The following is a 25,101-nucleotide window of genomic DNA, read 5'->3' on the forward strand; positions in this document are numbered from 1 at the left end:
CTAATGTAGATGACAGGTTGATGGGTGCAGCAAACCACCATGCCACATGTATACCTAGGTAACAAACCTGCACGTTCTGCACATGTATCCCAGAACTTAAAGTATAAAAAAAAAGAAAAGAAAATGATATAAGACATAGAAGAACAATATAAGAACAGTGAAATGTAAGATAAAAGGTTGTTTTAGAAACTAAGCAATAAGGAACGCAAGGGTACACAAGGAACACAAGGGTAATTAAATATGATAAATAATGCCTTAAGAGAAATAGAAATGGAAAGTTTAAAAGTTGAGCAGAAATGAAGATGATATAAAGAGTTTGAGATAAGGTGACAAATAGTGAAGACAGGCAAAGAAGAACCAACATACAGATACAGAAGAGTCCCAGAAAAAAGAATAGCAAAGCAAAAGGAAAACTATACCTCAAGAAAACCTTAAAATTAAATTAAAAAAAAAATTCAGAGTATATATTGAAAATTCATGCTAAATACCTAAGGATATTAACCCAGAATAAGCAACATGAAGATACATTCTAATAAAATTACCAGACTTAAAAGAAAAAAAATCCTTTGGACACCCACGTAAAAAGAGTATCTGGCATTTAAGGAAAATAAAATTATGATCAGACTTCAACAGCTTCTCCACATTGTCAGAAGTTCAGTCAACTGGAGATACAGTTGGCTTAACAAGTACCCTTTTAAAAATGTCTCTCCCCATCTGTCCCTCAAAGTACAGTTGGGGCTTGATGTAGAGCAATATAAGGATCCCGGGACCTTAAATCTTAAATCTGTTCCATTTTGATATAAATAATCTGATTTAAGATATTCAAGAAAAGAAACTGGGAACAAGGATTTTACATGCAGTGAAACTGACTTTCAAGTATAAAGAACACAGAGAAACTATTAATAACATGCAAGAAGAAGGAATACTGTTCTGTGAGGCATTCATGAGGAACCTACTAGGCAACAAGTCTCAGAAAAACAAAACTGTTGAGAAACTGACATAAGGACTGGTGATAAACATAACTATATGGTTACTTGTAGAAGTAAAACCAAATGCAGTTAAAAGGAAAAGGTCATAGTGTGAAATGGTGAAATGTTTTAACAATGTAGATATAGTCCAACTATTCAAAAAAATACAATAACTCGGATAGTACAGGCAAAACCATTTTTAAAATTGTTTTCAGTAATCAGAATTAATGATGGTGGTATATACAACTGTCATTCTGAGACTGCTTCATGTGTAAAGAGGGATAAAGCAAATGAGTATTTATAGAACTTTCTAATGCTAGCATCTTCTCTGTACTACGTAGCCAGGATTCCTGTTGTGGAAAAAAGGATACGCACCACAATAGAGAAGTGGTTAAGTAAAAACTCTGTAGTACTGAATTTGAATTGAAAACATCAGTATGAACTCACAAGGTATTATATGTGCAATGACCATCCATAATGCTCATTATGTGGTCTTGGAATACCATTTTCTATTTTAAAATAAACAAACAAAAAACAAAACAGGAGGTCAGGGTGGAACATGTTCAAGATGAAGCTGGAACGCCCTGCCATTTCTGCTATCGAAGAAGCATATTTACCCCCCTTTTCCTATGTGAACTGTAATCAGAGTAGATGAGAGTGAAGCACAAAATTATTTCAGCTAATAAATAAAAACAAAAATAAAATATTAGAATATTACCATTCTGAAGCCCCAAAGTATTAAGGGATATAAGCGTGAAGAAAAACTAGTCATTATGTGGTGCATGACAAAAGAACCCAATATGCCCCCATAGTTTTGCCAAAAGGTTCCAACCTGAGTGTGATCTAGCCTGTGGAACTAGCTGCCAATCTGTATAAAATAAGAGAACAGAGGAACGTGACCTGCACCACAAGTGTGCAACTGGGAAACTATGGGAAACTCTATAGGTCAAATGGTCTGGATTCAACAGGTAAATTATAAGAAAAAGAAAGAAATGGAGGGGCAGACCGTAGATTAAAGGAGATTTAAAAGACATTAAGCTTTAAAAAAAGTGAGCATGATTAAACTAAAATATCTAGAAATGAATAGTTAAGTGATTAAACCTTAAAGACATTCTAGTGATGTCTGTGAAAATCAGGGTAGTGGTAACTTTTGTTGGGGGAGGGTGTTTCGATTGGGGCAAAGAGAAGGGCTTCTGGGGTGAATGAAAAAGTTCTAAATCTTTACCTGAGTTGTAGTTAGAAGAAAGTTATCTTTCTAATAACTCATTATGCTACTCTTGGCCTTTTGCATGGTTTTGAGTATTTTATTTCTCAATAAAAGGCTTTAAAAATAATAAAAATGGCAGAAGAGAACTGGCACAGGCATGAGGCTGTTGAGTCGAGGTTCCTGTGGACAATTAGGTGTAACTGTTCAGGAGGCTGCTGGATTTACATGTCTGGGGCTTCGGAGGAAGGTTTTTCAGGAGAATGTATGGAGCAATCAGCACATGATCGCTGAAGCACAGGAGGGGTGTGGAGAGAAAAGAAGGCCGAGGACATGGCCCCGAGAGGAAGACACAGGTTCTGAAGATGTAGGTTGAAGGAGGGGAACATTTGAAAAAAGAAACAGCCAGAAAGGCTCAGAGAAAACCAGGAGAGGGCAATGTCACAACCGGAGGGATGAGGTTTTCAGCAGGAGAGTGGCAACACCTCATGCCGCCACAGTGTCAGGCAGCACACAGGCAGAGCGGGGTTGCCGGATCCAGCCACACCCACACGAAGGCCGAAGGCCGGCTGTGACCTTAGCAAGAGCAGTGCCTGGTGGGCCTGTCAGTCACAGCATGGTGGCTGTGAGGAAGTAGAGTTGGGGAGTGCAGCGAACTCCTCACCTGTTTAGTGCTGAAGAGAAGTAGGGAAATGTGGCATTCAGGGAAAATTATTCTGAAATAGGGTTGGTGAACATATTTGCAAGGCTTCTAAAAAGCTGGAGAACTTCCTATCTGACAGTGTCTATGTTCTCAAAGAAGGAAGAGGCAAGAATACTTGCTATAAAATCAGGGGAGAAGTGACAAGATAGATGCTTGAAGAGAGGGCTGAACAGCTGATGTGGGGCACAGACAGGGGAGGGGGAGAAAGGGGCAGGGAGGTGACCCGAGGCCCACTGATGGGGTGCTGGCAGCCCTGAGGCTCTGCAGAGCCTGGTGGCCAGGGCGGCTGTGACCCCAGTCCCCACGGCACAGAGTCTCTGAATCAGTGTTTCGCAGCCTTCTGGTAGGACAGGAGAGGACTCAGACTGGGGTTTCAAAGAGCAACAGAGGGACAAGGAGTCCAAGCAGGATGGAGATTCAAATTCTAGGTCCTGAAAATGGAGGACTAAATAGGCAGAGGAAAGGAAAACAGGAAGATTAAACATTTCGCAACCTACTCATCTGACAAAGGGCTAATATCCAGAATCTACAATGAACTCAAACAAATTTACAAGAAAAAAACAAACAACCCCATCAAAAAGTGGGCGAAGGACATGAACAGACACTTCTCAAAAGAAGACACTTATGCAGCCAAAAAACACATGAAGAAATGTTCATCATCACTGGCCATCAGAGAAATGCAAATCAAAACCACTATGAGATATCATCTCACACCAGTTAGAATGGCAATCATTAAAAAGTCAGGAAACAACAGGTGCTGGAGAGGATGTGGAGAAATAGGAACACTTTTACACTGTTGGTGGGACTGTAAACTAGTTCAACCATTGTGGAAGTCAGTGTGGCCATTCCTCAGGGATCTAGAACTAGAAATACCATTTGACCCAGCCATCCCATTACTGGGTATATACCCAAAGGACTATAAATCATGCTGCTATAAAGACACATGCACACGTATGTTTATTGCGGCACTATTCACAATAGCAAAGACTTGGAACCAACCCAAATGTCCAACAATGATAGACTAGATTAAGAAAATGTGGCACATATACACCATGGAATACTATGCAGCCATAAAAAATGATGAGTTCATGTCCTTTGTAGGGACATGGATGAAACTGGAAACCATCATTCTCAGTAAACTATCGCAAGAACAAAAAACCAAACACTGCATATTCTCACTCATAGGTGGGAATTGAACAATGAGATCACTTGGACACAGGAAGGGGAATATCACACTCTGGGGACTGTGGTGGGGTCGGGGGAGGGGGGAGGGATAGCATTGGGAGATATACCTAATGCTAGATGACACATTAGTGGGTGCAGCGCACCAGCATGGCACATGTATACATATGTAACTAACCTGCACAATGTGCACATGTACCCTAAAACTTAGAGTATAATAAAAAAAAAAAAATTAAAAAAAACAAAACAAAACAAAAAAAACAAAAAAAAAACATTTCCTTCTTCCTGGGGAAAAGGTTGGCCCTGAGTGAAGTGCTGATCTCTTGGAAGTTTATCTTTTGCATCTTCCCCTCTCCAACCTCCTAGTGACTCTCCCTCCAGGGTTCTGGGGTCCTTATGCTGCTCTACATCAAGCCCCACCTGTACTTTGAAGAATGAATTGGGGGGAGACATTTTTAAAAGGGTACTTGTTAACCTAACTGTATCTCCAATTGACTGAACTTCTGACAATGTGGAGAGAAAACTTGGGGTTAGAAACAATCCAAGGACGGTGGGGTGTACTAGGCATTTCACATGCAGGAGAGGCTCCCCTCACGCCTTGGGGCTCAAAAGGACATTTCTTTAAGGCAAAATGCAGGTGGTGGAGAAGACATCTTTCTGTGATACTTTCAGAAAAATAAAATAAAAATGTTTTTTCTTGGCTGGGTGAAATGTGATTTCACTTTTTATGATAAAAGATAAATTATAATCAAGGATGTTTAATGGCTGCAAATAGATGTGATCCTCTGGGCTAAGAAATATTTTAAAGTGATAAATAGTTGTAATTAGCATTTCTAAAACCAATCAACTGTCATTTTCTATGTAACTAATGCTATTCTAAGCTCAGTGAGTACAGAATGACCCTACTTTCTTAAACCAAAAACCACGATACATGGACTGGAGACAGAGAAAAATAGAGCTTACTATGTGCCAGGCAGTATCCTCATTGCTTTATGTATATTAATTACTTTAATTCCTACAACCCTATAATTATTGCCATTTTACAGATGAGGAAATTGAGGCACAGAGAGATTAATTGCTCAAGATCTCACAGCTAGTAAACAGGGGAGCCACTATTTGAACCTTGGAAGTCTGAAACTTATGTACCAACATTAGACATGAAGTATAAAATGCATAAATTATTACAGAAACTTGTACTGTGTTGAATACTATGTTGAAAAATTTATGTCCGCCTACAACCTGTAAATGTGACCTGTGAATGTGACCCTATTTGGAAATAGGGTCTCGACAGAAGTGATCAAGTTAAGACGTGGTCTTACTTGATGAGAGCGGACCCTTATTCAATAGAGAGAAATTTGGACATGGGTTCTGACGTAGGGCCAATACCATGTGACTACAGGGAAGAGACTGGAGTGATGTGTCTGCGAACCAAGGACTGCAATAACCAAAAGCTAGAAAGAGGCAAGGAAGAATCCTCCTTTTGCTTTTGGAGAGAAATCTTTATCAGGCTTCATTAATTCAACCAATGACATTTATAAGATAGTAAACTTATTACCTCTTTAGGGGTTATCAAGTGTTTTAATTCTCTGTTTTATATTTGTTCAAATTCAAAGCCGTTCTAAATAGCTTTTGTAGCATTTATCTTTGGAAGATACTACTGCAAGTAAATTTTGCAGTAAAGTTTTTCACCAGTTACTGATGGCTAAGAAAATAATTTAATAGATAACTGCCACCATGTCTACAATAATTAGGCACAAAGGTACAAACTATTGTAGAAGTTTTTCAAATTAATAATACAAGAGTGTTTCCCCCTTAGGCGACAATACATGAGGTGCTACTGTTTTTTCTTTTATGAATGAGATGCAACCTAACTCCACTCCATTATTTCCCAACATATAAGGAGTGTTCTGAAAGTTCATTTGAAAGTATATACTTTGAGACGAGGCACACTTTTCTAAAGTGTAGTAACAGGGTAGTAACAGGTACTGTCTGAGCCAGGCTCCAAGCTAGATACTACACATACTTTGCCAGGTTTAATTTTCATGATTATTCAACGAGATAGGTATTGAAGGCCTATAATCTCTCATCTTAAACCCTGGGGCCAGAGCTTTTGGCTTTCAGCATTTCCTTATTTTAGAAAAATAATATGGTACATATGGTGTACACTAAGTCATGCCTCTAGTGAGGTCTGGGACAGCACTCAGTTGCCGGATGAAGATTTCTGCATCAAAGCATACCCATTTCCACACCAAGAGAGATGGATGAGGACTCTAAATAGCCTGATGTTGTTTCAGGTAAGATTTGCTGCCTAATGAGTTCAGGTCAGGTCAAATTTCCTAAAAACTGGTCCTCTGAGGTTTCTGAATTTCATAACTGGGGATAAGGGTGTGGGAACCTGTATGATTCTCATTTTCTAGAGGAGAAAATGTGGTTAAATAGAGTCAAGTAACTCACACATGGGTGTGTAAATAGGAGTTGGATCCAAACTCAGGTCTCTCTGGCTGCAAGGCTCTGGTCTTTGCACCACACCTGAATGCCTTAAAATGGCTATTTCATCCCACCATCAACCCAAACCACAGAAAATGACAGTGCCATACAGAATCTGAGCGTTACATGGCATTTCTAGAAGGAGTTGTGCAGGGTTTCAACCCTGGGCACTTCCCCTCACACTCCTAAGACAAGGGACAACCTGACCCAGCACATGAGGGAGTAAGACATGAAACTCTGCCAGCTTTGGCAGAGGCAAAGCAGGAAGGGGCCTGAGTAAGGAAGTAGAAAGGGAAGGTAGAAGATCAAGCTTTAAGACAGGAGGATGAATATGGACTTTGAAGAAGATGTGAAAAGTGAGAGTGGGAGGAAAAGGCTATCTATGAATAAGGGGAGGCTTAGGGCTCAAGCAAGGAAGGGCCATTGTGGACTGGCTGGAAGAGAGAAACTGTAATTGGAAAGGGGAATTTTTTTTTCCCTTCACAAATGAAAGACAACAGTAGAAGAGGGAAGCAATGGGAAACAACAGCTGAACCTGCCCTTTCCTTCCAGCCTAACCTCCCTTCACTGTCAGCAGCACTGGGAAGGGAGCAGCACTGGGAAGGGAGTGAGCACTGGTAGAGCCCTGTTCCATGCCAGGCATCTCTGTGGCACTTCACCTTGACCTCATCCAACCCTAGCAACCCTCCAGGGTCTTACAGATGAGCAACAGACTCAGTGAGGGAAACGTGCCGAGGTCACAGAACCTCAAAGTGGAGAGGTGGGATTCAATCCCAGCTCTGAACTATCCCCAAGTCCATGTTCTTTTCAAGGACCAAAAATGGGTGGGTGTGGGCAAAGCAGCAAGAACTCAAGGGCTGAGTCAAGTGCCAGGAGTTGGGGTGGCGAGGGAAATGGGGAACTTGGAGAGATACAAAATTTCTATCCATCAGGAGAAATTTCTGCAGCAGCTGGGAAGTGAGAAACAGACACAAACCAGACAGTAATAAGTTAGGGACCGCTTGTTAAGATCATCTAAGTCAAGTACAACATCAGGGAGCCATATAAATTCAGATACAAATTAAAAACAGTAACGTACCATATATACTTACTTCCCAAAGTTCATAGAGCTCCTTTCTGAGGTCCTCTGGTAGGAGCTGGGTTATCTGCTTCATAGCTTCCTGAAATATTAAACCATTATCTTTAATTATATTGACATTTATCACAGTTAACAACCACTCTGCAACAGACAAATAGGTTCGGATTCTTACAAACAACTCTCACAGGGGCAGCAGAGTAAATTGGCCTATACTGGACAATATTTATAGCTTGTGAGGAAGGCAGGCAGTTGTATACCTTAAATAAATAAGTGTAATCATTCATATGGGCTTCGCTTAGCACCTCTTTTGTGGTCTACAACACAACAGACATAGAAAAGGACAATGAGGAGGTCATGAGACAATTACAGAAATATCAGAGGTGTTCAAGGATTTTACATCTGTGGATAAATCACAACATACCCACATACATTTCAATCATAAGCATATGAGAGTTCAAAACAAACCTGAGTGGGGAGAATGGGAAAGGAATACTGAATTACAAAGCTCAAAGAGATTTTTTGTATATTCATTTTCTATTGTTAACATGTTTTTATTGCAAGATGTAAAGTACAATACAAATGAGCGATTATTGCCATTAACATAAACGAAGTTACATGATAGAATTTTGTAGGCTCACAGACTCACAGGCTGAAAAGGGATATTAAACGGCAATTAGCTAAACCATCCATGTAGTATCTGAACCCTTCAATAGCATCATGGAACAGTTCTATCCTCTTTCCAAAAATGTGTGCATTGGTAGGGAGCCTAGTACCTCAAGAGGCTGCCTTAGACAGTACTGGCAGAAATTATTTTCTTATATCAAGCTGAAAATTTTCCCTGTAGTTCTTCTACCACACCTAACCCATCCCTCCTGCTTTCCTCTCTAACCCACAAACACAACGTCAAACAGGTGGACAGTGACCCCGCTGGGCTGGACTATCTGTGGCCACAGTGACTGGTCTAAGAGATAATCTTATAATTCAAACCAGGCATTCAGGGGCCATCTGCATTTGTCAAGCAGAGGCTAGGAGAGAAGCCATATTCCCCACCACAAGGAGAAGCGTTGAGAGTTAGCCAAAACCTAATGAAAAGCAGAGACAAAATAAGAGTAGAGGGTGTCCTGTACTTCTAGGCTTTCTGTACTTTCTGGTCTCAAAGATCCCAGGAGCTACCCTTATCCTCCAGTCTTCTCCTTTATTTATGAGTTACTCCAGTATCCTTCCTTTATTTCTGAATTACTCCAGTACTCTCAAAAAGCTTCAAATTCCTTCACCACCTTCATCCCATACCTTTTAATCAGCCTCAGTTCTTCTAACCACAGAGGTTAGGCTCTTTGAACGGAATATGGCTATAAAAACCATTTTTGGCAATATAAAGGTCTTACATAAAATAAAATAGTGAGTTGCAGGAAAGCAGTGAAAATAAAATTGGACATTTGTGTGTATATTTATTTATTACTGGGAGAAAAAAAATGTTACAGAATACAACCACTTCCAGAGCAAACCACATTTGCCAATGTCAACAATCCACTCTTATAAATAACATCACCATCTTGAATGGCTTGTTCAGTTACAGAGTGGTAGCATCACACTACCCTTAGTAGGAAGGAATTTAGCTTATGTTGTACATGCATTCTCCCTTGTTTCTTTTTCATAAATTTCAGCAAGAATACTTGAGAAAATACTTTATATTTTCACAAATTAACTGTGTCTTTATAGATTCCTTTTCTCTACACTATTGCAGAAACACAAGTTTGCCAATTACTTCCAGTTGAAAAGAATGAACTAAATCATATGTACATACAGGTATATGAACATCTCAACTGTAGAATGCAAACATGAAAGTCCTGCTCTGACAGGAGACTATTTTATTCTCTTTAAAATGACACACCTAGAACTGAATACAGTGATATATGTATGATCTGACCAAGGTGGAAGAAAATGGAATCATCACCTTCCTCATGCTAGATACTATATTCCTTTAAGTGCAGTGTAAGACTGAATTGGCTTTTTGGTGATCACATCCAATTACTAAGTTATTAATAGGCTTCTTTTTGTTCAAAATCACCATATTCTTTAAAAAACAAAACAGCAAATACGTTGTTGCTCTCTTCCTGAAACTGAACTATGATTTTCTGAATCTAGGCTGATTGATATTTGTTAATCACACAATCAGAATAGCATTTTTGAAACCTTGTAGAGAGTTAATATTCTTTGTTTGGCAGCACATGCCAGAATCATGCCTTTTTAATTGAACCCTCTGAAATCAACATGGCTGAGGTCCAGGGTACACAGCTGAGTATGCCAGCCTTTCCCTTCCTGGCAAGCGATGAGCCCTGACACTTCCACTTCTATACTGAGTTTCACCTTGTTGTTCAGTCATAGATTTAGAGTGACAGCTTCCCTAGCCTCTTCCTCTGTTAGCAAAATATGTCAAAAATCTGCCTAAAGTGCCGAGCTGAATGAAGCTTTCAGCAAATATTTTGTGTCAGTTTTGTGACAAGTAACTGGAAGGTATTATTCATCATTCAGACACTGATGAGGCTGAAGAGTGTAGTAGTCAACTGAAGACCAGATCCAGACTGGGTTTCAAACCCGGCTCGCCATTTATTAATACTAGCTGTGGAACCCTGAGCAAGTCATTTGACCTCTTTGTCCTTCAGGTTTCTCATCTACACAGTGGGGTTAAATATTGGTACCTACCTAAAGGGATCATAGGGATTAAACAGTTAATACACATATAAAGTGCTTATTATTGGCACATAATAAGCACTTTATAAATCTGCCACATAATAAGCACTCTATAAATGTTTGCTGTGTTTTTCATTTTCTCCTTCTTGTCATACTTACTCTATGATAAAGTTCCATTCTCTTTGTAATCTCCAAGTTCTTTAGCAACTTTAACCCTCCCAGACACAGGCATACCACGACTCTGCCCTCTGTTTCAATAAGGTTTCCCCTTTGCAAAGGAATATGACCTGCCACCATTATATTCCAGCTTCAAGTTCCACCTCACTAGATCACAGTGATCCTTATCAGACATCATTTATCAACCTGCATTATCAACCTGCATAATATCAAGTGTATGTTAATATGTTTAGGAATGAGGCCAGACTACAAGTATTGCTTTTGGCTCCTTTCTAAATTTGTTTCTTCTATGCCCTCATTCTCCCTTTCATCTTAATACCTACTTTTCTCCAAAACAATCAGCCTTCCAGGTTTATCAAGTATAGTTGGTCCTCCATATCTGTGGGTTTTGCATTAACGGATTCAACCAACCATAGATAAAAAAAAAAATTAAAAAAAAAGATACAAATAAAAAACAATACAGTGTTATCAACTATTTACATAGCATTTGCATTATATTAGGTATCATAAGTAATACAGAGATGACAAAGTATATGGAAGGGTATGTGCAGGTGATATACAAATACGACACCATTTTATCTTCAGCATCTGCAGATTTGGTTATCTATGGGGGTCCTGGAACCAATACCCCATAGATACTGAGGGACCACTGTATTTTTTCTCCCTCCTACTTTAGTTTAGAGGCTCACTGATGTAGCCAGCAAGGGCAAATGAGGTTTCCTGGTTCTCATTAGGCAAATTCCACTCAGAGCCAAGAAACCCTCATTTAATTATCTTAATGCATGGTTCAGACATCCAAATCTTGTTCATAAACACCATCTGCATAAAGAATTGTTCACCTCCCTGATTTTCTTCTCTCTTCCCAAATCCTGACCAGCAGCAGGAAGAGGCAATAGAACATCAGTGCTCTCCAAGCCTTTGGTTTCTTGTCCAAGAACTTGTGGTTCTTTAAGATGTTTCCCCATTGCCTTCTGCTTATGACATTTATTCCCCTGTGAATCAGCAGGAGTGGGCAGCAGTCAGGAGGTTTAATGAGGCTGGAAAGGTTTTTCATCAAAGCCAGGATATAGCATCCTAGAAGGCAGCAGTATCCTCTCTGATTGCTCAGGTCCCCTCTGTGCCTGTCCATGGGGTGTCACCAGCCAGGACTCAGCTCTTGTAGGGACAGTCGTAGGTCCTCCTCACTTCCAGTTGTTGGAGATGGTTCACACTGACTGGTTCTTCTCCAGAAGGTTTTGACTTGCTCCTCTGCGGAGTGAATCTCAAATTCACTGTGTGCTTCCAGAGGGAAGTCTGTCTTTTTCCTCTAGGCCCCATTTTTCCTTGCCTTCTCTTCACCTTAAGGTCTTCAATGACTCACTGGTACTTTAGAATATGATTTCTCGTCCACAATGTCCAGATTTACCCTTGAATAAAACTATCCTACAATGAGCTGTGTAATTGAGGAATTTTTTTCCCTTCCTTTCCCTCTGTGTTATACTTCATTACTCACCATCCTCTGGTTCAGCTGCTAATTCCTTTCTGCAACTAAGAATCTCGAACTAATTGGTTTCTTTTTATATTAATTCTGCCAGTCAACAGAACAGTTCTTTATTCATGGCAGTGCAGATTCATATAGAGAAACATTTCCTTAGACTCCTCCCCTTTTCCTGTCTTGGTCAGCCTGTATCTTGGACCTAAACTTTGGCAGGAAGAACACATTCCTTATACTATTCCCCTTGTGCCTACACTTTTGGGTAGGTTGGAACTCTTAAACTGGGACTCTCGTTCCTTGTGGCTCTTCTTACCTTTGAAGGGCAAAAATCCTGCTGGCTACTGAGCCCGTTAGTCTACAGGTGTACAGATCAAAATGGAGTTTCTTATGTCTTCCTTTTCTACAAAGACACAGTAACAGTCTGATGTCTCTTTCTTTTCCCCCACAAGCTCCAGTCTCCCCAGCTCTGAGAATAGACATTTAAACACACTTGCCCTGTTAAACCATCTCAATAAAGACTCCTACTACTCAGCAATTTAGGACCAATCTCTTAGGCCTCTAATAAAAGTAGCTAGCAATAACTCTTGAATTGAAAACCAACCACTCAGCATTCAAAAAAGGCTTCCTTCATTTTCCAGCTTCTGCTTCAAACATATCTTCCTCGTTTGCCCTGGGCTTTGGGTTTAGAGTCCAAACTGATGTTAATTTAATACATTATTGATGTTATTCATTTCTTTCTAATACAAATACTTGACTTTTCTTTACCTTCAACCCCTAAGTTAAAGGAGTAACTTAAAATTTACTAAATAATAATTACAATAATGATTCGATTTGTGATTTATAGAACTTCTCTCCAAAAAGCTTATTTAGCATGGAGAATTCCTACAAATTCATTTAAATTCCAGCTATTTTCATTATTCTAATGAAAGTTAGTGTGGAGGGAGAGGGGGGTTAAAAAAACTACCTATTGGCTTACTATCAGGGTGACAGGATCTGTACTCCAAACCTCAGCATCACACAATATTCCCATGTAACAAATCTACACATGTACCCTGTAACTAAAATAAAAGGTGAAATTAACAAAAATAAAATAAAATAAAAATTACCTAGCCTCGGGTATTTCTTTATAAAAGCTACAAAAGAACAGACTAACACAACAAGCAAAATCCAATCTGCTGCTTATTCCAGGAAATCCCTGCTTCTGGAAGATAAGGCTGTAAACCCCCTAAAACTGGGTCAACACTAACAGTTTATTCTTCAAAACTCATTACGACCTTCCTTCACATGTTTACCAATCTAAATCTATTATATCCTAAACTGTGCAATCCCAGCTAGTTGCCTAACTTGTCAGATCCATCTTAATATTCTCCAGCCCAGGCCCTGAATCTCTAAAAATATCTTCCCCTGACCTTCCCCTTCCTAAGACACTACTAAGACTATCAAGGCGGTATTCTCCCTAACTGTAACAGGTCTCATAAACTTAGCTTTGCTTCAGCAAGAGGTTTTTCTGGTGGTTTTTTGCACAGTCAATAGTCAACACTGACCTCTTCTCGCCTATGTTTTTCTTCTTTGGGGATGTTATCTGCTGGTGCTATGTCCCCAACGATGCATTCTGCCATATCATGAACCAGGGCTAGGCGTACACATCTGATCAGGCAAGAAATGTCGAATAATTACACAGAATTATATTTACTACAAGTTCCTTCTCTATACTCTTCCAAAGTTATATAATATATATATTTTTTCTCCACCCTCACAGAGTATTTTAATGTAGTATTTTCTAAAGTAGTTATATTCTGCCAGCCTACAACAGTTCTGATCAAAACTGTTAGTTCATATTCAATAAAATACATGTGAGTATAGGGGAAATTGTTAGCATTAATTTTTTTTCTTAAATGGTTTATCTCTGAAATCTCACTTTAAAAGGCTAATAGGCCAGGTGCGGTGGCTCACGCCTGTCATACCAGCACTTTGGGAGGCCGAGGTGGCGGATCACCTGAGGTCAGGAGTTCGAGACCAGCCTAGCAACATGGTGAAACCCCATCTCTACTAAAAATACAAAAATTAGCTGGGTGTGGTGGCACACACCTGTAATCCCAGCTACTCAGGAGGCTCAGGCAGGAGAATCATTTGAATCTGGGAGGTGGAGGTTGTAGTTGGCTGACACTGCACCACTGCACTCCAGCCTGGGCGACAGAGTGAGACTGTCTCAACAAAAAAAAACGAGATTACATTTGACAACTTTCATGTTCCTGACACATGTGAATCATTCAATAAGTGGTTATGATTATTAGCGGTTAAGGAATAGTGGTTGTGATAATTCATCATCAAAACAGGAAGTCAAGTAATGAGATAAATGCCCCATAGGGCCAGTATGTTTTAGGCTCCCCACACTACCAAGGCAGTACAAGGCCCAACAGTGTCCTCTGAGATTTCCCTGCCTCTAGTCTCTTTCTGGTCCAGTTCAAATCCCAGACTACTCCAAACTGCATCTCTATTGGACTTCATTTTCACCTTGTACCATTTGCCAAAAACCTCCTCAGTTCCACTTCATCTGCTGAGTAACAGAGGACTCCTCAGGCTTCCCAAATGAACTCTTTGCTGCAGTCAAGTTGATTAATTTCTCATTTGCAAAATACTCCTTTACTTTCCTACACTCAGGGCTTTGGTTTATCTGCCCTTCTCTCTGCATGCAGTGACTTCTCCTACCTCTCTGGCTACGTTAACCCTTTTGAGCTCAACTCAGATTGCACCTCCTCCATTAAGATCAACCAAGAACAGGTGATCTCCCCTGCTCTTACAATACTTAACATTTTCGACCATAACTTACATTTCACTTCTTACAGAAGCTATTTTGGGCCTGCGTAATTCACTTGGGATTTATTTACTCTCTTACATGCTAGTAAACTTTTGTTCTGTGCTCAAAAAGCATTTTAACACTTGTCGATTAAATGAAGGGGGAGAAGATACCTCTTTCTCAGCTATGTCTTGCACACACAACTCCAAAAGGAAGCCTCACGAATGGATACTACTATCCATAAAAGGCACTAGGAAAGAGCACACAGTGTACTAATACAATGCTAGAATTTTAGACATAACACACTCACCTTCAAGGCCCCAATATCACACTTAAGTTTCCCCTGATACCCTAGGCAGGCTCTATCACTTGCCAACAGAAACCCCAGATTGCAGTTTACAACAACTGAGGCAACATAACCCACATCCTAAATTTGTATGGTTTGCTTCAAATAATTTTTCTTGACCTATAAACTAACCTACAAGGATTTGACATGGGTCTCAGTAGTAAAAACGGGTGCACACCCATAGACCAGAATCTCTCACGAGCATCAAAGTCCAGCTCAGCTTACCGGTCTTTGTTAAGACGGTCATCTTTGATCACCATAGCCATAACTGCCATCCGGTACATGTGATCTGAAACGCTCTCCGGCCTCTGGACATTTCTGTATACCCAGCCAGTTCGTGGGACTCTCTGATAAATATGAAGAAGAAAAAGAAGTTTTAAAGAACAAATATTAACTATCTGCTATGCTCTTCAAGAGATGTCCAGGATATAACACACAGAAGCCGGGTCATAATTTCAGAACCTATTACAAAATGTTTTGCTAAACTAGCTAAAATGATAGACATCTGGAATCAAATGAACTAGAGAGCTCAGAGAATGAAAGGGGTAGAAGACAGAGAGAGATAAGTCACAAAGTCCATTCGTCAAATTATTCTGTTACTGATGTATAATTATGGAACATATGCAAGTCCTTTAAACAAAAACAAAACTGCATTTTTCCGAACAAGAGTTGCGGCTTTTTGCCTTCAAATAATCCTACACAAGCAGAAAACACTGTATTGAAGGGTCTGAACGTGAACGAGTGATAGGCTTCCAAATTCTGAGGCACAAGGGATAAGGGCACTTCTAATTGCTTGATGCTACCAGCCGTGACTCTTCCTTTTATTCACATCATAACTTCATCTTGTGAAACTGCATTTCTTCCTCAGAATTCTACATCTCTAAGGAATGTTATAAATAGTAGTCAGAGTGGCATGAAACGGATAATTTACTTTGAACTTGGGAGAGAGACGGGGAAGACGCACATGATGAAACTCGTGTGTATTACATTAAATCCCGTTTGGGGGGTGGCCGGGAGAAAAGTCTTGTTTCTGGAAGTAACTGTGAGACAGACATAAAAAGCTCCACTTAAAATCTGAGGAGCCGACAGATTCTGTTCTTCCCACCCGTGCTCAGAAGCAGCCGCGCTTTACACACACACACACACACACACGAGTTCTGGGGTCGTGAGCACACACACACACACACACACACACGAGTTCTGGGGTCGTGAGCCCCGGAAAAGCTCAGTGCAGGCAGGGCCAGGCCGGCTGCTCTCCGGGAACTGGCGCGGCTGCAGTGCGGACCTCGCGGCGCCAGGCTCTAGGCTCAGACTCCGGGCCGCCCCAGCTGGCCAGCCTGTCCCGCCGGCTGCTTCCTCCGTCCACCGTCGGCAACGCGCGGCCGCATCCGCAGGACTGGGGCCTTTCCGGAATTCGGCGTGGCGGACGCGGCGCAGGAAGGGCAAAGACCGCCGGCCGAGCGGGGAGGCCGGAAGCTCCGCCGCCCCACAGTCCCGCCCGCTCGGCCGCGGCCTCCCGGCCTGGTGCCCGCTCACCTTGAGCTGCCCTACCAGCCGCAGGAACTGCAGTAGGGACCGAGCCCCGTGGCCCGAGAAGGTCGCAGAGGAGACCGAAGCCATGCGGCCACCGACCCCGGCTGGGCGGAGCAGGCCGCGGCGAAGCTCCTCCCCGTCCTCCTCCTCCTCCCCTTCCCCTTGTCTTTCTTCCCCCTCCTCTTACTCTTCTATCTCTTTCTCCTCCCCCTCTTCTTCTTCCTTCTGCCCCTCTTCCTGCTCCCCCTCTTCCTCCTCCCCTTCCAACTCCTCCTCCTCCTCCCCCACTTCCGCTTTCTCCTCTTCCTCTTCCTCCTGCCCCTCTTCCTCTCTCCCCCTCCTCTTCCTCCTCCTCCTGTTCTTATTCCTCCTCCCCCTCCTCCTCCTGTTCTTATTCCTCCTCCCCCTCCTCCATATTCTCACGGTTTTCTCAGGACCTTCTGTCCAGCCTTCGCCTTCTTGGCCTTGGTGTCCGCTGCTTGGGCATTGCTCCGTCAGTGGCAGACACCTTGCTTGGCACATACTTGACACTCAGTACTCTTTATGAAAAATAAAGCTCTCCTTTCTAAATTTATGAACCTCGTTATTCTTCAGTTGACAGTGTAAAACCATGAAACTGGATGAGGTCACCTGGCAAGAGGGTGTGAATGAAGAAGAAAAGACACCCAAGACCTGAACCCCAACATTTAGGCTTTGTGAGATCAAGAGGGAACAGCCAGTGAGGTAGGAAGAGGATTAGTAGGTAGGATAGTTGTGTCCTGGAAGCCATGTACAAAAATATTTCAAGAAGGAAGGAATATGGTCAACCAAGTCAATGTGAGGACCAAGGTTTGACTTCCAGACTTAGTAAATTCAATATTATTGGTTACCCTGACAAAAGCAGTTTTCAGTGTAGTGGGCCAAGCAGAACCTAGTGAGATAATTCCGAAGAGAATAGGAGCAAGTATTACAGCACATTGGAGATGGGGTTGGGGTGCTGTTAACTAGTGGAGAGATTGTTTCAAAACAGGAGATATTATGTATGTTTACTGATGAAGGGGATCTAGTAGAAAGGGAAACATTGATTATGTAAGAGACAAAGAAGAGAAATATTTGAATGTCGGCCTTGAGTAAGGAAAAATATTCCCATCTGGTGTACAAGATAAAAGATGGGCTTTAGATAGGAATATGGAGAATTCATTCAAATATTGGAGGAGGACAGAGTATAGGGTGACTAATCAGTCGCACATGTGGTCATGGGAGGTTGTAGAAGTTCTCTTCTGATTGCTTCTATTTTCTCACCAAATTAGGAAGCAAAGTATAGGCTGGGATGTTATAATAACAAACAACCTCCTTATTTCCTGTATCTCAGCAGTTTAACACATCAAAGGTTTATTTCTCTCTCATGCTAAGTGTCTATTGTAGATCAGCTAGAGGATGCTGCTTGCTCTAACCTTACTCAGGGAGCTAGGAGGCTTTCTTTGCTCTCTTTTGCCAAAATTGGAAAAAAGAAAAGTGGCACTCTGGCTCTTAAAGCCTGTCTCTGGAAGTGATATATGACCTTTTGTCTACGTATCATTGGTGAAATAAGTAACACTGCCACGTCTAACTTCAAAGGGGGCCTGTGGAGTGCAATCTTGCTAGGCCTCTGGGAAGAAAGGAGGCTAGAATGTTTGTGAATAGAGGAGGAGGCATTTGAGGTTTAAGGAGTGATATAGTTTGGCTCTGTGACCCCACCCAAATATCATGTCAAACTGTAATCCTCAAAGTTGGAGGAGGGGCCTGGTGGGAGGTGATTGGATCATGGTGGCAGACTTCCCCCTTGCAGTTCTTGTGATAGTGAGTGAGTTCTCATGGGATCTGGTTAATGGTGTGTAGCACTTCCCCCCTTTGCTCTCTTTCTCTTCTGCTCTGCCAGGTGAAGACGATGCCTGCTTCCCCTTCACCTTCTACCATGATTGTGAGTTTCTGCAGCCATGCTTCCTGTACAGCCAATGAAATACCTTTTCTTTATAAATTACCTAGTCTTAAGTAGTTCTTTATAGCAATGCAAGAATGGACTAATACAAGGAGAAAGAAGGCATGAAATAATTTTTTTGAAGACTGGTTCAGCAACAAGATTAAATATGACTAAGAACCAAATAAATGCCAAGGACATTGGGGCTTGTATTAAACGTGGTTAGGATAATGACCTGGAAGCCATTTTTATGATGGTAAGTGGTGCTAAATAAAGGAAATATCAAGCCAGGTGTGGTTTGTGCCTTTATCCCAGCTACTTGGGAGGCTTAGATGGGAGGATCACTTGAGCCCAGAAGTTTGAAGCTGCAGTGAGTTATGATCACTCCAGCTTGGGAAACAGAACCTGTCTCTAAAAAATTAAAAATTAAAAAATGGAGGGATCAAGGTTTAAAAAGAAGGATCAAGAATCAGAGGCAAAGTCAGACAGTCCACTGGAGGAACACGAAAGCAAATGACCAAAAAGATCCAGGAGAATAAGGAAGATGAGGATGTTGGATTTGCTGAAGGATGTAGTAAGGGGCTTTCAAGAGATAGGTGCCATGAAGCAATGGGGCTGCAAGCTAGCTGGTGAATGTGCAGTGTAACCCTTACGGTTCCTTCTGAGCAGCCTTGTCTTCTTTTGCCAACAATGCATTGATTTCCTTTGAGCTCCTCCTGATTCATGCAGGCTTGATTTAGTTTCCATGGGTATTTCTGTCTGTATTTGCAACTTTCTTTGCAAAATACACGTGAGTTATCTTAACTTTGTGTAGTGAGCTGTAAAGAATTTCTCCAGTTTCCTAAGTGATCAGAAGTTGGAAGACGTCAAGTTGCTGAAAAATTATGAATTGAGTATAAATAGTTTTTGAGGGACACTATTTAAAGATGATATGGATTTTTGGAGGGGACATTACTATCTAAAAGTAAATTGTTACTGTGAAAACTCAAAATATAGTGCCGACTTCTTGCTTTTGTAAACTGAAGATGTTCATCAGGGTTCGTAACAAGGTTTATTCCTACTATATCATTAAAGACCAAGATGTTTGACTCTAGAAGGTGGAATAGTAGCCTCTTAAGGATATCTAATTTTTCCAGAGCTTGCAAATATTTCTATATTACATGGCAAAGGAGAATGGTAGCAAATGGAATTAACTTTGCTAATCAGCTGAACTTTAAATAGGGAGATTATCCTGGATTATCCCAATGAGTGAGATGTAATCTCAAGGGTTCTTAAAGATGGAAAAGGGAAGGAGAAGAGTGAATGCCAAAGGGATGTGATGGGAGAAAGACTCAACTGGCCATTGCTGGCTTTGAAGATAGAAGGGGCCATGAGCCAAGGAATGCAGGCAGACTCTAAAAGCTGAAAAAGACAGGAAAATTAGATTCTCCCCTAGAGCTTCCAGGAGGAAATGCAGTGTGGCCCGCCCCTCGATTTTAGCTTAATGCAGCCCATTTTGACCTCCAGAACTGTAAGATAATAAGTTTGTGCTAAGTTTATGGTAATTTGTTACAATAGTAATAGGAAACTAATACAGTGGATAATCATGTTGGATGTCCTGAATCCCTTTTTACCAAATACCCTTCTTCCCCTTTTCTGCTGAAGAAGGGAAATTGGAAAGCCTGTTTCTATTTCACAAAACCAAAGACATATTTCAATGATGTGTTGGTCAAGCATCTTCCTCTAGCATTAGGTTAGAGGAAATAGGAATCAATTTATTTCCACAGAAGGTGGTTCCATTTTAAAGCAGTGAGCAAGGAAGGAGATTTGGCACAATGTACTTGAGTCAATTGGAAGGAAAGATGTTTGAAATTAGAAGGCTCTCGTTAGAGGGACTCTTTACTTGGATCCAATATACATTTCAGGGGAACCTGTGGATACCCTGAAATTGTCTACAACTTGTGTTGCTTATGAAATTTTTTTTGTTTAGAAGATTCTTAAAGTGGTCTGTGGCCAGAACAGGGGCAAAATCTGCCACTATTGAGAAATCTGCTATGTATCTGTGATGTAGTACACAAAACTCTGGACTCAGAGCGATAATAATCAAAGGTACAGCTAATTGAGCCTCTGTTAGTGTGAAGCATTGTTACATCTCTCATCTTGTTTTATTCTCTCATTATCACTCCAAGGTATTAATGATTCCACATTCCAGATGGGGAAACTGAGGTGCACCAAAGCTAAAGAATTGGCCTCAGTTTTTAGAGCCAGGAAACGGTGCAAGCACTGAAACTCTAGCCTGTCTCCTTCCAAATCTTTCTTTTTGTGGCACTTGGTGCTCCCCAGTGGCTATTAGTACCCAATTCTTAATGTTGTGGAAATTCAATGAGATTACATGCCTGGAATGGATTTTGTAAACTTATTTATATGAAGAATTGGGCAAGAAAATAGGTAGTGATAGATTGATCTGAGAAATTTTGTCAGAAAATATTCATAAGTCCATTCTGGGAGATTACTAAAGAGATTTGTTCCTTTAAGGTATTCAAGGAAGAAGTGCCGCATCGGCCTGCTGCATATTCCTTGATAAAAAAGGTTTACATCAGTTGTTCTCAATCCAGGTTGTTTTACTCAAAAGGGACATTTGGCAATATTGGAATACATTTTTAGTTGTCGCAGAAAAGAGGCAGAGGAGGAGAGGAGCAAATGAGAGGCAGAGGCCAGGGCTGCTGTTAAAATTCTTGCAGAGCACATGACAACCTTCTGCAACAAACAGTTATCCAGCACAAAACATCAATAATGCTACGATTGGGAGACTACACTCTATATGTTTAAAAATGAGATGCCTAAACTTACTTTCCTTACATCATCAATAAATTATAATCCAGAGAAAGTTGATGCTATGTTTATGAGTTATATAGTAACTGTGTGAATGAGTTATAAGGTAAGCAAATAAGTTTCACACAGTATCTCCTCTTTTAATTAGTGTAGAAAAACTCTCGAGCTTACCCCTGACAGAGACTGGAAAGATGAGAGGAATTAGAGGATGGCTTTGATCATTTATGTAATTAGGTTATAGTAGAGAAATTCAGCTCAAAGAAGATAAATGTAGGATATTAAGTCTGGGAGCGAAGGAACATTACAAAAGGAATGTTTGTTCAAGGGAAAGAGATTGGGCTTTGTTCTGTTTTGCCACTTTCTTGCCTGTGGCTAAGTATTACAGCACAGAAAAAAAAAAAAAAAGTCAAAGGGTGCACACTACTTTCCCCATAAAATCAGGCATTCACTAAAGAGCCAACGGAGGGCTTTCTGTTCAAAGGAGCAGCAGCAGAGTGAACCAAGTCTCTGATGGCTGAGAGTGATGGTGAAGACTTTGCTCTACAAAAGACGTGTCTTCCTTCCAGTTAACTTGAAGCTAAGCAATGACACTTTGGCCTTCAGGCTCGAAACCAATCACCATTAACAGATGTGTTGGAGCCACCTCTGGACACCTCTCACTTATGGAGTGGAGAAGTTCTGCATATATAAAAACAACGTTACTGTTTTGTTTTGTTTTAATTCTCTGAGTCCATAATCTCTTACACCAGTGTTTTAGTAAGCCTTCGGAACTTCTCCATGGATCACCATCTTAAGTGACTACAGTTTTTCTTAGTCATACAGCAGGCTTTAGCTACCCTACAACCCCATTTTTATCATATGGGATAGACTCAAACTTTTATCTTTTCAGAGTGACCACAGCTACGGTTTGACTCTGCTTATCTACATGCATCATAAGGAATAAGGCAGGGTTTCAGGTGAATTTCACAGAGGACTTTGAGACCTGCCACTGCCTCTGGCAGCTGCTATGTGATGAATCATCACATGTCTTAGACCTGGTGGTGTAATCCTTCTCCAAGCAGAGAAAAAGAAATGAAACAATGGCATACACTCAGTAGTAGCATTTTCCTGTTATATAAAGGAATATGGTTACTCCTAAAAAACAGCAGCAAAGTTAAGTAATACGCAGAATGAGTTACATGAAACGAGAACTAAGAAAAATTTCTGAAAATATTCAGTTTCCAATCATTTGGAATATTTCTTCTTTACTTCTAACCAAAGGAAATACTGTTATTGTTGTTGTTCTAGTGCATTTCTAACTAGTGAAGAGTAGATGTACGTTTTGCAACAAAATCTTAGTTATCCTAGAGGCCAAAATTCCAGTGATATTATGCATCTGGGAGGGCATAGAAACCAGAAAATTAAAGGGGCAAAAGAGTTAAAAGTATGTCTAACAAAAAATAAATCTAGAGTATCCAGCAGTAAAACCATCAAACCAAAACATGATTTGGATTTTGCCCAAATGACACTTGACACTTAGTGTTTCCGTGGTTTGATGTCCAGAAAAGATAAAGCCACTTCAATGTTATAAGAGTCATAAAAGTCAAACCACGTCAGCATGCAAGCCACGAAGTGTAGAAGTGTGGTGGAAAAGAGAAGAAAATAAGAAAGGGGAATGGCAAACAACAAAGGCAACAAGTGGGGAATATTGCAAGTAACAGATATTGACACAAGGAAAAAAAGTTAAATAAAAGGGCAGCTACTAAAATGGCAATGCTTTGCTTCACTGAAAGTACAGGACAGTTGGGCACTGTCGATGAAAGGACAGGAGTTGCGGGAGTGGCCAAGAGTTTCAGGGAGCGAGTACAAGAAGTATTTATATGACAATGATAATATCTTTCTTTACACAACACCTAATTTGTGCCAGGCCCTTTGCTGGGATCTCTACCATATCATTTGAATCCACAGAAGCCTGCAGAATGCATTATCTGCTTTCCACAGGTATGGAAACAGCACAGAAAGGTTAAATAACTTGCTCAATGTTCCACTCCTGTGTCAGGACTTAAACTTTGTTAACACCATGGATTATATATTTTCTAGTACCTACATGGTCTCCTGGATTTTCCAAAATTGAAATGTGGAGATTCTGGCAATCATTAGGGTCTTCTGTGTGGGGACAACACTTCAATTGGAGAGGAGCTATGCTAGAATGTTGTCATGTCATGTAAATACTGGGTGAATCTGAGGTGGCTGTCTTGCCAAGGAATCATATTTTAGAGCTCGCAAGGGAATACTGAGCAGAAATGTTATTCCATATAAAGTGCATCTCAAGAAATATGTGTGTCTTTGGTTCATCCTAATTGAAAATACAATTTTCTTAGCTTATATGTTAGGTAAAGTTTCTTTTTTGATGACTGCCCTTGTTTCTGACTTGACTTCAGAAAGTGGAAGTACCAAATGACAAACCATGAAGTTGCAGAATTCTCTCACTTTTTGGCAGTACATTTCTGATTTCATAGAGTATTTCTCAAGCAGTTTTATCATGATGGTGATACTAGACAGAAAGATTCTTAAGGGTAGACACTGTGTCTGATCCATCTTTTATCTCCAGAACATAGAACCTAGCATGGCCTCCTCTAGACATGGTGATAAGAAAATTGTGATGATGGTGGTGGATTTAGAAAGGAGACACGTTTCAGGGACAGAATCACCTTGTCCAAAGGCAAGGAGGTGTGCACCATCAGGTGTTTGTAGAGCATCACAAATCAGGATCTCAAAGTTGTTCATTTACCTGAGCGCGATGGCTCACACTGAAATCCCAGCACTTTGGGAGGCCGAGGTGGGTGGATCACCTGAGGTCAGGAGTTTGAGACCAGCATGGCCAACATGGCAAAACCCTGTCTCTACTAAAAATACAAAAAATTAGCTGGACATGGTGGCAGGCGCCTGTAATCCCAGCTACTTGGGAGGCTGAGGCAGGAGAATTGCTTCAACCCAGGAGGTGGAGGTTGCAGTGAGCTGAGATCTCAACATTGGACTCCAGCCTGGGTGACAGAGTGAGACTCTGTCTCAAAAAACCAATCTATTTGGGAGATGTTTCCCAAGTTCCATAAAAATAGATGCTGCTGGTCCAAGGGTTGTGACATTTCTTTTTAAAGATGGAGTTTTGCTCTTGTTGCCCAGGCTGGAGTGCAATGATGCGATCTTGGCTCACCGCAACCTCCACCTCCCAGGTTCAAGTGATTCTCCTGCCTCAGCCTCCTGAGTAGCTGGCATGCACCACCTTGCCCGGTTAATTTTGTATTTTTAGTAGAGACGGGGTTTCACCATGTTGGCCAGGATGGTCTCGATCTCTTGACCTCGTGATCCGCCCACCTCGGCCTCTTAAAGTGCTGGGATTACAGGCGTGAGCCACTGTGTCCAGCTGGGTTGTGACATTTCTATAAAGCAAGCATATTCAGAATTGTGACACTCCTGTCCCTGTCTTCTCCCATGTCCAGGTGAGGCTAGGGGTGGCAGGGAGTTGGGGAGAAAGCATGTTATACTGCCAGAGATGGTTCTTCCTTGTCTCTAAGGCCCGGGCACATCTATTGCCAGAGCCACAGCTGAACAACATCTGTTCTGTTCTAACTTTCTGTTTCTCCCCATTCTCTCTTCATTTGAGCTTTTAAACTGCCTTTAAAACAGGAGCCACAATGGGCCTGTATGTGCCCTCAGCTGTTTCTAATTCTCTCC

The 25,101-nt window shown here is 41.1% G+C and overlaps 1 protein-coding gene across 3 annotated transcripts in view, besides 3 other annotated features; it reads right to left on the reverse strand.

The window, feature by feature from the left end:
- HDDC2 (HD domain containing 2) overlaps positions 1–16,762 on the reverse strand; it is a 26,618-nt gene extending 9,856 nt beyond the window's left edge. Inside the window, exons 1-5 of one of the 3 annotated variants that reach the window (XM_024446450.2) lie at positions 16,393–16,555; positions 16,039–16,147; positions 15,333–15,454; positions 13,509–13,611; positions 7,636–7,704 (exon numbers count right to left, since the gene is read on the reverse strand). In XM_024446450.2, the coding sequence (XP_024302218.1) occupies positions 7,636–7,704; positions 13,509–13,611; positions 15,333–15,391 (231 nt within the window). In that variant the 5' untranslated portion in view covers positions 15,392–15,454; positions 16,039–16,147; positions 16,393–16,555. Of the gene's footprint in view, positions 1–7,622; positions 7,705–13,508; positions 13,612–15,332; positions 15,455–16,038; positions 16,148–16,392; positions 16,556–16,643 lie in introns of those variants that run through there. The other 2 variants (NM_016063.3, XM_047418850.1) reach the window with 2 other exon arrangements.
- Positions 16,452–16,791: a silencer, noted in NCBI's record as "silent region_17517". NCBI's record gives its function as "represses an Ori minimal core promoter by ATAC-STARR-seq in GM12878 lymphoblastoid cells {active_cell/tissue: GM12878}" and the evidence as "EXISTENCE:reporter gene assay evidence [ECO:0000049][PMID:35858748]".
- Positions 18,285–18,465: a transcriptional cis regulatory region, noted in NCBI's record as "candidate enhancer chr6.4553 targeted for multiplex CRISPR interference". NCBI's record gives its function as "positively regulates HDDC2 gene expression with high confidence in K562 cells {active_cell/tissue: K562}" and the evidence as "EXISTENCE:mutant phenotype evidence [ECO:0000015][PMID:30612741]".
- Positions 21,965–22,554: a transcriptional cis regulatory region, noted in NCBI's record as "candidate enhancer chr6.4554 targeted for multiplex CRISPR interference". NCBI's record gives its function as "positively regulates expression of the HDDC2 gene with high confidence and the TPD52L1 gene with lower confidence in K562 cells {active_cell/tissue: K562}" and the evidence as "EXISTENCE:mutant phenotype evidence [ECO:0000015][PMID:30612741]".

Source organism: Homo sapiens, chromosome 6 (genome assembly GCF_000001405.40).
Source record: "Homo sapiens chromosome 6, GRCh38.p14 Primary Assembly".
In the NCBI taxonomy this organism is placed as follows: Eukaryota; Metazoa; Chordata; class Mammalia; order Primates; family Hominidae; genus Homo; species Homo sapiens.